The sequence below is a fragment of the Homo sapiens genome, chromosome 8, assembly GCF_000001405.40.
Source record: "Homo sapiens chromosome 8, GRCh38.p14 Primary Assembly".
Taxonomy (NCBI): Eukaryota; Metazoa; Chordata; class Mammalia; order Primates; family Hominidae; genus Homo; species Homo sapiens.
The window spans coordinates 42,834,519-42,846,938 of NC_000008.11; the positions used below are offsets into that span (position 1 = coordinate 42,834,519).

At 43.1% G+C, this 12,420-nt stretch overlaps 1 protein-coding gene and 1 long non-coding RNA gene across 3 annotated transcripts, besides 3 other annotated features; one reads left to right on the forward strand and one right to left on the reverse strand.

The window, feature by feature from the left end:
- On the reverse strand, window positions 2,156–8,807 carry THAP1 (THAP domain containing 1). Of its 2 annotated transcripts, NM_018105.3 has the most exons (3): window positions 8,506–8,807; window positions 4,668–4,863; window positions 2,156–3,818 (listed from the first exon to the last, which is right to left on the reverse strand). In NM_018105.3, the coding sequence occupies exons 1-3, from the start codon at window positions 8,574–8,576 to the stop codon at window positions 3,444–3,446; spliced, it is 642 nt and encodes a 213-aa protein (NP_060575.1). In that variant the 5' UTR covers window positions 8,577–8,807; the 3' UTR covers window positions 2,156–3,443. The 2 variants fall into 2 exon arrangements, with proteins under 2 accessions (NP_060575.1, NP_945354.1); NM_199003.2 differs by lacking the exon at window positions 4,668–4,863.
- Window positions 8,400–9,190: an enhancer, noted in NCBI's record as "OCT4-NANOG-H3K27ac hESC enhancer chr8:42698061-42698851 (GRCh37/hg19 assembly coordinates)". NCBI's record gives its function as "activates a minimal SCP1, AML or CMV promoter by ChIP-STARR-seq in naive H9 embryonic stem cells {active_cell/tissue: H9 hESC(naive)}" and the evidence as "EXISTENCE:reporter gene assay evidence [ECO:0000049][PMID:30033119]".
- Window positions 8,406–8,495: a silencer, noted in NCBI's record as "silent region_19158". NCBI's record gives its function as "represses an Ori minimal core promoter by ATAC-STARR-seq in GM12878 lymphoblastoid cells {active_cell/tissue: GM12878}" and the evidence as "EXISTENCE:reporter gene assay evidence [ECO:0000049][PMID:35858748]".
- LOC124901940 (uncharacterized) lies at window positions 8,416–10,894 on the forward strand. The gene is made up of 2 exons (XR_007060901.1): window positions 8,416–8,865; window positions 9,249–10,894. It is a non-coding gene; the product is annotated as an uncharacterized LOC124901940 (long non-coding RNA).
- Window positions 8,526–8,885: an enhancer, noted in NCBI's record as "active region_27318". NCBI's record gives its function as "activates an Ori minimal core promoter by ATAC-STARR-seq in GM12878 lymphoblastoid cells {active_cell/tissue: GM12878}" and the evidence as "EXISTENCE:reporter gene assay evidence [ECO:0000049][PMID:35858748]".

Here is a 12,420-nt window from a genome sequence, read left to right on the forward strand (position 1 = left end):
CATCTGGGACTACAGGCGCGCACCACCACGCCAGTCTAATTTTTGTATTTTTAGTAGAGACAGAGTTTCACCGTATTGGCCAGACTGGTCTCAAACTCCTGACCTCAGGTGATCGGCCCACCTCTGCCTGCCAAAGTGCTGGGATTACAGGTGTGAGCCACCGCGCCTGGCCACACATGTATTTTTTTTTTTAGCATTAAAAGATGATCAGGGAATATTAATGCAAGCTAAAGAGCCCGTATCATGTGAAACTTTCATTTGCCATCACCATTATTGTTATAATTCTAAGAAAGGGATCACATAAATTATAGTTGAAAGAAAAAAAATCCCCTCATGTACTTGGATTTCCAAGTACAAAGTTTTGCAACAACAGAATTATTTTTAGTACACTTCTATACAATTAGTAAACATTTAAATTAGTTTTTAAAAACTTAAAACTTCAATTGGAATGTGCTAATTCAAGCCAAGTAGCAATTCAGGTGACCTTTATATTTGCATTATAAGGCAGTATTAAAAGATTGAGACCGCCTGGGCGCGGTGGCTCATGCCTGTATTCCCAACACTTTGGGAGGCCAAGGCAGGCTGGTCACCTGAGGTCGGGAGTTCAAGACCAGCCTGGCCAGCATGGAGAAACCCCGTCTCTACTAAAAATACAATATTAGCTGGGCGTGGTGGCGCATGCCTGTAATCCCAGCTACTCGGGAGGCTGAGGCAGGAGAATCCCCTGAACCCGGGAGGCAGACGTTGCAGTGAGCCCAGATAGCGCCATTGCACTCCAGCCTGGGCAACAAGAACGAGACTCCTTCTCCAAAAAAAAAAAAATTGAGTCTTTGTCCCTGTTTATGTCAGACTGTTTACTATGCCTGAACAGAACCTATTTTTACCTAAATGACCTCCTTTTCTTGGCAATGTTATAAACAATAGCCAATTCAGAAATAAGTACCTGCACCTCAAACTTCTGTTTACTATGATAAATTATTTAAATGAAAGCAGTTGGTGTACATGCTGCTTGCTCAGTTCTCTCCAAATGGGGATTTATGTCTGTTATGAAAAGAAAGTAGCTTGAGGTTAAATAATAATGCTAATATGCTAAGTAATTATGATTTCCATTTTTATAATCTTACCTGGATTCTTCATTCTGGGACACACACATAGAATTTGTCTTTTATGTAGAAGAGTACTTAGATTGAAGGTATATACTTTTCTTTTTTTTTTTTTTTGAGATCGGAGTTTCGCTCTTGTTGCCCAGGCTGGAATGCAATGGCACCGCCCTCGCTCACTGCAACCTCTGCCTCCCAGGTTCAAGCGATTCTCCTGCCTCAGCCTCCCAAGTAGCTGGGATCACAAGCATGCGACACCACACCTGACTAATTTTGTATTTTTAGTAGAGACAGGGTTTCTCCATGTTGGTCAGGCTGGACTTGAACTCCTGACCTCAGGTGATCCACCCGCCTTGGCCTCCCAAAGTGCTGGGATTACAGGCATGAGCCACTGTGCCCGGCCGAAGGTATATACTTTTCAAAATATTCAGGAATAAATCTAAATATTCCTGAGTACTTCCAGGAATTGCTAGAAAGATGACATATAAAACCAAACTTCTTGAATACTTTGTAGCTTCGAGTTCCATGAATAATCTGTAAAAGCCTTCTGACTGATCAGCATGAGTTCTAAATGATGTTATCAGACTATGTAACTTCAAGTAATCTTTTTTTTTTTTTTTTTTTTTTTTTGAGACGGGGTCTTGCTTTATTGCCCAGGCTGGAGTGTAGTGGCGCAATCTCAGCTCACTGCAACCTCCACCTCCCGGGTTCAGGCAATTCTCCTGCCTCAGCCTCCCAAGTAGCTGGGACTACAGGCACTCGCCACCATGCCCAGCTAGTTTTTGTATTTTTAGTAGAGACGGGGTTTCACCATATTGGCCAGGCTGGTCTTGAACTCCTGACCTTGTGATCCATCCGCCTCGGCCTCCCAAAGTGCTGGGATTACAGGCGTGAGCCATGGCGCCCCGCCCAACTTCAAGTAATCTTCTAATCATTATTTCTATTTTTGAGATACTGGTTCATAAAACATCAAATATGCATGAATCACAGTGCTATCCACTGGCAGCATGGCAGTGAACTACAATGAAAACCAGTTCTACAAAAGACACTTTGAATGCCATTGTTTCACACCTTTAATACTGTCTTAAAGGTTCTATTGCTCTTCAACGATCTTAGTGTACTTTGAAATATAAAAGTAATAATTATCATTGGAACAGTTATTCTAAATCTAAAAAGATAACTCCCATAGCAATATTTGTTTACTCAGAACATATTTTCACTTCCAATATATGTAAAATTTCTCACAAAGAACAGAACTCACAGTTTGAACAGAAACCTCAGTGTTTAAATCTCCACATTCAGTAAAATAAACGCTACATAGTAGGTTGTTCTGAATATAAATCACGCACTTAACTAAATGGGATATAATTTCTAACTTGTGTTAAAAGTGAAGAAATAATTTTTTATGTGAAGCCTTGTCCCAACTCAGTCAAGTGCAAGATTATCATATGATACAAATCAAACTCTACTAACACAGCACATTTGTCAGAGACTTGAAGGCAGATACATAACTACAGCTGGGGAACTGGATGTCCTTCAGCTAGGGTGTAATGAAAGAAAAAAGCGTATCATAGATCAGGTCCCAGTTTTAATTACTTCATTGATGACAATGCCTTACTTTATTTATTGAAAAATGTTTCTTCCACTGAAAATACACTTCTAATTTTATAATGCAAGACAGTAGGGGAAAAAATAGGAGCCCATGTAAAAAAAAAAAATCCACTCTTAGAATCTGAAGTTATTGATCAGATATGCAATGACTTTTTTCTGCTGTGATGATAATCAAATCTTTTTTCTTAAGTACTGACTTGCCAATTTATCTTTGATAACTGATTCAGAAAGATAAATGAACCTTGTGACTTTACATATGAGAATATGTACATATGTATATATATATTCTAAGAAGTTATGTCCCATGATCTGACCCATACTTCTGATTTAAAATATAACTAAATTCTCTCAATAAAACAGTACTAATTTTAAGTTTTAAACTGAAATCACCCTTTTACCACACTGTTCTCATTCTCTTTACTTTTTATTTTTACATTATTTCTATAAATACTAAAAAAAAACCCCAAAATCCCCAATCTTGAAACCAACTTACATTAGAGGTCTGAGGTTAGTTTATAACTTTTAAAATATTTTGTTAAAATGTAAAAAACCTGAAATTACAAACAAAAAAATTTATAATTTTACAGTATATATAGAATTTTTTTTAAAAAAATATTCTGAACTGTTTTTATATAAGTAATCAAATGTTATTTTTTTAAATGAAACTCCTTTACAGGCTAGAGGAGGATATGTGGTATTGCCCCATTAGAAATCAATACACATTTCATTTTTTTATGCTGGTACTTCAACTATTTCAAAGTAGTCATTTGGTAGAATCACATAACCTCTTTCTGATACGTCGTCTTTCTCTTTCTGGAAGTGAACAACCTCCTTTAATTTTTCAAGCTGCCGTTCTTGCCTTCTGCATCGCTGCTGTGCGGTCTTGAGCTTCTTTCTGAGTTTTTCAACTTGCTGTTCTAGCTGATGAATCCTTTTCCGCTGGTGCATTGTATCCTCCACAGTATAGTTGTGGTCACAGAAAACTGAGAGATTAACAGGGGTCTGAAGAGGCGGCATTAGTAATCCAATAGCAGCATCAACCTGGGAAACAGGAGGCGGTAAAGGAGGTGGGGGAAGCTGTTCCTGTGGCTCCAGAAGATCTTCTTTCTAAAACAAAAATACAAAGTATGTTTGAATTTAGTAACTAAAAACAGTTTAAAAGAATCTGTGGACTGACCAGGCGCAGTGGCTCATGCCTATAATCCTAGTACTTTTGTGAGGAAGAGGTGGGCGGATCACCTGAGGTCAGGAGTTTGAGACCAGCCTGGCCAACATGGTGAAACCCTGTCTCTGCTAAAAATACAAAAATTAGCCAGATGTGGTGGTGCACGCCTATAATCCCAGCTACTTGGGCGGCTGAGGCAAGAGAATTGCTTGAAACTGGGAGGCGGAGGTTGCAGTGAGCCAAGATCATGTCACTGCACTCCAGCCTGGGCAACAAAGACTTTGTCTCCAAAAAATAAATAAATAAATAAATAATAAAAGAATCTGTGGAATTTAAGAAATACTGACTTTTTTTGGGAATCAGTGGTATAGAAACATTCCAAAATGAGAAAACAGTTTCAGTTTGAATAAACTTTTCTACCTGAAGTAGAGGGACGGTGCAGGAAAGAGACAAAATGAATCATCAGATCTAATTAAATATTAAGCACTGAGGAGAAAAAAATGCTTTGAAACTAAACTGTCACTGATAAAGAAAACCCAAAACTTATCAATATATAACTGGCAGTACAGAGTGGTTTTTAACTAAGTTACAAAGCTGGACTAAGTTTCTTAGTGTGAGGATATTTATCTTTAATAAACTGCATTTTGTGTTTTCAGAAGTGTATCACTGTTAACTACAAGGTTCCAGGCACATTTATTCTCTTAACACTAACTCAATTTTCCACATTTTAATCAATGAACACATCAGTTTGATAAACAAAAAGCAACCCAATATTTTAAAATGCATATTACCTTGTCATGTGGCTCAGTACAAAGAAATATTGTGGGCACAGCATTCTCTTTCAGTAACTTGTTGTTGCACTCTCTCTTAAAGCAGTCTGGAGTAAAGTGCTCTGAACAAATACTGCTATACTTGGTGGGTTTAAAGTTTTTTCTTCTGACAGCTGCCTCCCATTCTTTACAAAGACTGGGTCGAGTAAGAGGAAACCTAAGAAGAAGGCATAATTCAATTATCTGTCCTGATTTTTTAAATAAATAAAGGCACCCAAACTTTCCAGCTTAGGAAATATCTTACATTGGTATTAAAGATGTTACAATTGTATTATCCTATTGGATTAAAGATTAGCTCTAGTTATCTATTTATCTCATTTATTAATTTTTTAAAAATTTTTTTGAGATGCCGTCTTGCTCTGTTGTTAGGCTGGAGTGCAGTGGTGCAATCTCGGCTCACTGCGTCTCCGCCTCCCAGGTTCAAGCGATTCTCCTGCCTCAGCCTCCCAAGTAGCTGGGACTCAGGCGTGCGCCACCACGCCCAGCTAAGTTTTGTACTTTTAGTAGAGATGGGCTTTCACCATGTTGGCCAGGATGGATTCGATTTCTTGACCTTGTGATCTGCCCGCCTTGGCCTCCCAAAGTGCTCGAATTACATGCGTGAGCCACTGTGCCTGGCCCTCATTCATTAACGTTTAACTTTTTATACTGAGTTCACCAAAAGATTCAGGTAAAATACATACTATAGAGTAAATGTGCCCACGGCTCATGCCTGTAATCCCAGCACTTGGGAGGCCACTGTCCGAGGGACTACTTAAGTCCAAGAGTTCGAGACTAGCCTGGGCAACACGGCAAAACCCTGTCTCTACAAAAGACACAAAAATTAGCTGGGCATGGTGGTATGTGCCCAGGTACTCAGGAGGCTGAGACTGAGGTGGAAGGACTGCTCGAGCCTGGGAGGTCAAGGCTGCGGTGAGCTGAGATCATTCCACTGCACTCCAGCCTGGGTGACAGAGCCATACCGTCTCAAAAAGAAAAAAATAACCTGTATTCATATTTTTTACCAGTAATTTTCTGTGTGCTGCACAGAGAGACAAAGATTGCACATTTGTATCTGCGTACTGGGAAAAAGGGGCTTCTAGTTCTCTTAGCATCAGTCTGACAAATATGAATAGGCTAAATTTGAATTAAAGGCAGATAATAACGAAAGAATTTATTTTCTAATCAACTGGGATGTCCATTAGGCCCAGGTAAACGGGGATAGTGAGAGTTTACATTTATTGTGGTAATTTTACTCTTCCAAGTTAAGAATTTGGTAAACTGGGGGGATTAGAAAGAAAAAGGGAAGGGAATTTCAAATTTATGTTTCACAGTCTCTCTTCCATGTACGATATGCTAGAGCCTGACTCTGCTAGTAAGAGATCTTTATGACAGTCCCTTTTCTTTGTACGACATAGCACTCTCCGCTGCCACTATGTAGAGGGTGGGAGAAGTGGTACTCCTAGAAAATCTCAGCTGGGGCTGGGCATGGCCTGTAATCAGGCCTGTAATCCCAGCACTTTGGGAGGCTGAGGAGGGCGGATCAGGAGGTCGAAGTATGGAGACCATCCTGGCCAACATGGTGAAACCCTGTCTCTACTAAAAATACAAAAATTAGCTGGGCGTGGTGGTGCACACCTGTAGTCCCAGCTACTTGGGAGGCTGAGGCAGGAGAATCACTTGAACTCGGGAGGCAGAGGTTGCACTGAGCTGAGATCGTGCCACTGCACTCTAGCCTGGTGACAGAGCAAGACTCCATCTCAAAAAAAAAAAAAAAAAAAAAAGAAAGAAAATCTCAACTGGAACGGCCTCTATAAGTATAAACTAGGGTAGCATTTGCTGGTAAAATTCAGTACCTATGGCCTCCTGGCTCTGTAAGTATAAACTATGGTAGCATTTGCTGGTAAAATTCAGTACCTAGGGCCTCCTGGCTCAAGGACAACAAATTTACAGCTGTTTGTGAGATTCTCTTAAGATCTTTCCCATCTACTCTCCCTAAACCTGCTATTTTAGATAAGGGATAAGATGCAGGTTAGCCCTTCTTTTGATTCAATCCATATCTGCTTAACATCTAGCAGAAACAGTTGTATCTTTTTTTTTTTTTTTTTTTTTTTTTGAGATGGAGTCTCACTCTGTTACCCAAGCTGGAGTGCAGGGCAAGATCTCAGCTCACTGCAACCTCCATATCCCAGGTTCAAGTGATTCCCCTACCTCAGCCTCCCAAGTAGCTAAGATTACAGGCGTACGCCTGTATTTTGTATTTTTAGTAGAGACGGGATTTTGCCATGTTGGCCAGGCTGGTCTCGAACTCCTGACGTCAGGTGATCCGCCCACCTTGGCCTCCCCAAGTGCTGGGAATTACAGGCATGAGCCATCGTGCCTCGACAAAAACAGTTATTTCCGACGTGTGAATACCCTCTTTAAACTAGTTTCCAGTGCCAATGAAACATTTTCCATAATTTTAGATTCCTTCTGCCAAGCCATCAGAAATGTGGGTGGGGAGCTGGGCATGTAATCCTGTTACCATCACCTGACCTTTCCCTACATTTAGAAAGAACATGTTTACAGAAATTCCAATTAAATCAAGAGATAATATTAGGATATCCTGAACTGAATCCTCTAAGTGTTCTATCCCCTTCTCCAAGGGGTAACATTATTACTCTGGAGACCTCTCTATGTTCTACACACTCTTATTTCTATAGGGTCCATCTCACATGATATCAAACATATTTAAAAAATGCATGGACACTCCCCTAGTAAACACAGATGGCCCCACAGCAAAAAAATAAATTAACTGAAAAGATATTTAACATTTTGCTTTTGTAATTATTTACCTAATTATAAAAGATAATTAGCTAATTACCTATGGCTAATCTGTATAGTTTACCCCTGGATCTGATTTCTTACCTATCATCTGCGTATAGCTGTCAGGAATTCTTGCAAAGAAAACTTAACATAAATGTAATTAAAATTTGTAAACAAATTCAGCTGAATGAAAATGTTATGTCACATTTTACAAGCGTTTATCATAAGTAATTACAACTCTGCACTTTTTTCCTATTTTCAAGAGAATATTTTTGATCCTATCACTTAACTGTGCTACCTACTGGATAAGACAGCTCTGAAAGCTGTGGGGCAGTTTCTTTCGAAAGAGCTTTCTCTATGCACAGGTAATGCCATAATAAATAAAGATCCGTGTGAGTCATTTTATTATGATCCATGTTGTAACTGTCCATATTATCATTATTGTGTGCTGAAAAGATAACGATTTATCTCGGCAGTACCTGAAGCTTTCTCCAAAATACAGGGTCCTTAAAGCTTAGTTCCTAGAGATTGGGGGCAAAAATTCTCCCTGATTTCCCAGCCAAAAAACCCTTAATTGCTACGATGCTGGCCTCCCATCCACGGCAAGGGCGAAAAGTAGTGATTTCTTCGTTTAAAGGCCTTTGTTTCTATTTTAAATTTACCCCTAAGACCATATTAAAACACCTGGCTGCTCTGTGACCCTGGTGGTGGCAAAACCCGCGCCACCCTAGGCATCGCCCGTGGGCTCCGAACGCGTCAACCCAGGCCGTGAGCGAAGCCTGCAACCAGGGCCTGTTCCAGGAGCGCGAGAAACGGCTGCCGCGGCGACGCGCGCCGAGAACGCGCGATCGGGCGGCGGTTCCCAGCGGGACGCGGTGGGAAACGCCCGACACGGCCGGCCCCAGACCCCACCCGCCCCTCGCGCGGACACGCGCCTGGCTCCGCCCCCGGCCCCGCCGGCCGCGCGCCCCCACCCCGGCTGAGACCGGCCCCGCGAGGCGCGCAGGGTCCTCACTTGTGGAAAGAAACGGGCTTGTCCTTGTCGTAGCGGTTCTTGCAGCCGTAGGCGGAGCAGGACTGCACCATCCTTCCGGTCCTCAGGCACTTCACTTCTGCCGCCGCAGAAGGCAGGGGAAGCTGTTCTCAGTGTCGCTGCGCTCGGTTGGATTCCCTCGCTTCTTTTGTAGCTTTGGCCAACAGTTACAGTGATGGTGGCCTCCCTCGGGGGTGACTAGTGTGCCCGTTTTGTTGTTTGCATTAGCAGAAGGACCACAGCCATCGCCCGTCTCCCATCTCCAAGATGGCGGAGGCAGCTTCAACCTCACCTCTCGCGAGGGGTGCGTCCCACTGTCTCTGATTAGCCCCGAGGTCAGAGGTAACGTTTCCTGGGAAGCTAACTATTGGCTGAGGCCAGGTGTTTCCGGCGGTGGCTTCAGAGTTGCCGAAGTGGGCGGAGCCCTGAGCTTCCGGCAGGCAGGAAGGAACTGCTTGTGGGGGGAGGAGGCGCGGCGGGAGGCCGGATTCCTGGGGCATCCTCCAGCCCCGGGCTGTTCCCGTGGGTTAATTGATGCGGACCTTTTCTGGGGCAGCTTACAGTAGGGAACAACTAGGGCCTCTTGGAGAACAGGTGTAAAGCCGAGGTCGTTGGCTGATTGCGCCCATTTCTTTAAAAGGGCGGACACAGATGGTGTATGATTAATAAAATTGTGGAACCTTTTCCCAGAGTGCTAATCTTTATCCCATTACCTGTGTCTTCAGGTATCACAAGTTTCTGTGAGAGCCAACGTGACAGATTTTTAGCAATGAAAAAAGACACACTCGCCAAATCATCTCAATTGCCAACGCAGAAGCGTTTTATATATATGTATGTATATGTATGTATATATGTGTGTATGTATATATGTGTGTGTGTATGTATATATATATATATATATGTAATTTTTTAAATAAATAGAGGCGTTGTCTCCCCACGTTGCCCAGGTCAGTCTGGAACTCGAGCTCAAGGGATCCTCCCATCTCGACCTCCCCATGGGTTGGGATTACAGGAGTTGAGCCACCAGGCTGTCCCTCCCCAGAAGCTTTTCTGAAGGCTCTCCATTGCTGTGATTTCCATGTGCTGTGTTGCAAATAGCGAACTGCTGCAGCAATTTTCACACCTGAGAGAGAATATGTTAGAGGGGTTCGAACTAGAGCGACTCTGTGTTGAGTGAGGGCTAGGAAAATGAGGCTGGGACTTGCTGGGCTGCATTCCCGGGAAGTTAGGTATTCCTAGCCTCTAGATGTGTATACCATTAAGGCAACAGATTGATAATGTTTACTACACAGACCCAGACTACCAAGTGTCCAGATATCCCGATATTTTGAGAACAGAAGCATTCCTAATTTTGCTTTAAAGATAATAATATTGGGCTGGGCACAGTGCCTCACGCCTGTAATCCCAGCACTTTGGAAGGCCGAGGCGGGCGGATCACTTGAGGTCAGGAGTTCAAGACTAGCCTGGTCAACATGGTGAAAACGTCTCTACTAAAAATACAAAAATTAACCGGGTGTGGTGGCACATGCCCTCGAATTTCAGCTACTCTGGAGGCTGAGGCAGGATAATCGCTTGAATCCGGGAGGCGGGGGTTGCAGTGAGCCGTGCTTGCACCACTGCACTCCAGCCTGGGCGACAGAGTAAGACTCTGTCTCATAAATAAAGATAATATCGATTCTTACATAATATAGTAATTAATCCTTTATCACAAACCCTTGTAGCAAAGCACATCTCCCCATGATCTTTTTTTATCCTATATATAAACTAAGTGTTGTACTTAGGGTGGACGCGTTCCTCCTCTTACTTTCGGGAATGCCCTACTCTGTCTGTGGAGTAGCTGTACTTTCACCACTTTACGTTCTTAATAAACTTGCTTTTGCTTTGTACTGTGGACTTGCCCTGAATTCTGTCTTGCGTGAGATCCAAGAACCCTGTCTTGGGGTCTGGATTGGGACCCCTTTCCTGTAACAGTTTTACTTCATTCCCTGCTCCTTTTCTTTATATAGATCTGAGCCAGGCAGACCTGGAGAGCGGACTGTTGAGTAATCCCTTGGCCCTTATTCTCTACCTTTCCTGCCCTTTTAAATGTTGCTGTTTCCCCAGGGTTCCATCTTCTGCCCTCCTCTAACTCCTAAACACCCTGCTCCTTAAACTGAACCAAATACCATAATTCTCTCATCTTTTATTTCCTTTGTATATCCGTTCTGCCTTTGGGATTATCATCTGTGAATTATCATCTGTGAATTATCTGTTCAACAGTTGTCTAAACCAGAAACCTTGGAGTCATCTTGGATTTTTTTTGTCACCCATAAAACCCGTTGATGACCAGGTTAATTTTGTAGACTAAATAAATAAATGCCCCTTAAATCCATCCCTCTTCATGTCTCCTCACTGTTGTTGTTGTTTTTTTTTTTGTTTTTTTTTTTGAGAGGGAGTCTCACTCTGTCGCTCAGTCTGGAGTGCAGTGGCACAATCTCAGTTCACTGCAACCTCCGCCTCCTGGGTTCAAGCGATTATCCCGCCTCAGCCTCCTAAGTAGCTGGGATTACAGGCACCCGCCACCATGCCTGGCTAATTTTTGTATTTTTGTAGAGATGGGGTTTCACCATGTTGGCCAGGCTGGACTCGAACTCCTGACCTCAGGTGATACGCCTGCCTCGGCCTCCCAAAGTGTTGGGATTACAGGCGTGAGCCACTGCGCCCAACCCTCACTGTTCTTTAATTATTTTTATTATTATATTTAACAGAGATGAGGTCTCACTGTGTTGCCCAGGCTGGTCTCAAACTCCTGGGTTTAAGCTATCTGTCAGCCAGGGCCTCCCAAAGTCCTGGGACTACAGGCGTGAGCCACGGCACCTGGCCTCCTCACTGTTCTTGACCAAGCTCTCATGGTCTTAACCTTGCAGCAACCCCTTAACTATCCTAGTCTCCAGTTTTACCTCTCTCCATTCTATCTTCTATAGAAGGGTGGTGCATGCCTGCCACGCCCTTGCTCATATCCTTCCAAGGCTACCTGCTGTACTGAATAAAATCCAAACTTCTTATGGTGAATTATAAAGCTCTTTAAGACCAAGTACTTCTACTCTTCCACCATCATCTCCCTCCACTTGTCTTTACCTTTGTTCCGGCTTTATGTCTTAGAGGGTAGGCTCTTTTGTGGTTTCTTTAAATAGGCTGTTTTCCTTGGCTTGAAATGCCCATCCCTGACCTGTCCACCCTTAAGATGTGGCTTAATGGCCTGGTGCAGTGGCTCACGCCTGTAATCCCAGCACTTTGGGAGGCTGAGGCGGGTGGATCACATGAGCCCAGGTGTTCAAGGCCAGCCTGGGCAACATAGTGAGACCCTGTCTCTACAAAAAAAATACAAAAATTAGCCAGGCATGTTGGCACACACCTGTAGTCCCAGATACTTGGGAGGCTGAGTTGAGAGGATTCCTTGAACCCAGAAGGTTGAGGCTGCAGTGAGCTGTGGTCATGCCTTTGTACTCCAGCCTGAGCAAACAGAATGAGACCCTGTCTCAAACAAGCAAACCAACAGTTACCATGAGCTGGGTGTCAGGGCTCAGGAGGCTGAGGCAGGGACTCAAGGCAGCCTGGACAGCAGAGTGAGACCCTGTTTCTAAAAAGTTGTTTTTAATTGGTCAGGTATGGTGGTGCATGCCTGTAGTTCCAGCTACTTGGGAGGCTGAGGCAAGGAGGATCCCTTGAGTCCAGGAGTCTGAGGCTGCTGGAGTGTGAGCTATGATCATGACAGTGAGATCCCATCTCTAAATTTTATACACATACACATACACACACAGATATGTATTGCTAAAAAAAAAAGCTAATGATCACCTGAGCCTTCAGCAAATGGTGATCTTTTTGTTGATGGAGAGTCTTGCCTTGATGTTGATGGCT

Excerpts from the sequence above, each read along its gene's own strand:
- THAP1 (NM_018105.3), bottom strand. The coding sequence starts at position 8,576 with ATGGTGCAGTCCTGCTCCGCCTACGGCTGCAAGAACCGCTACGACAAG. Across the intron at positions 4,864-8,505 it reads AAGCCCGTTTCTTTCCACAA|GTTTCCTCTTACTCGACCCA; the intron begins GTGAGGACCCTG and ends CCTTCTTCTTAG. Across the intron at positions 3,819-4,667 it reads GTACTGAGCCACATGACAAG|AAAGAAGATCTTCTGGAGCC; the intron begins GTAATATGCATT and ends TTTTTGTTTTAG.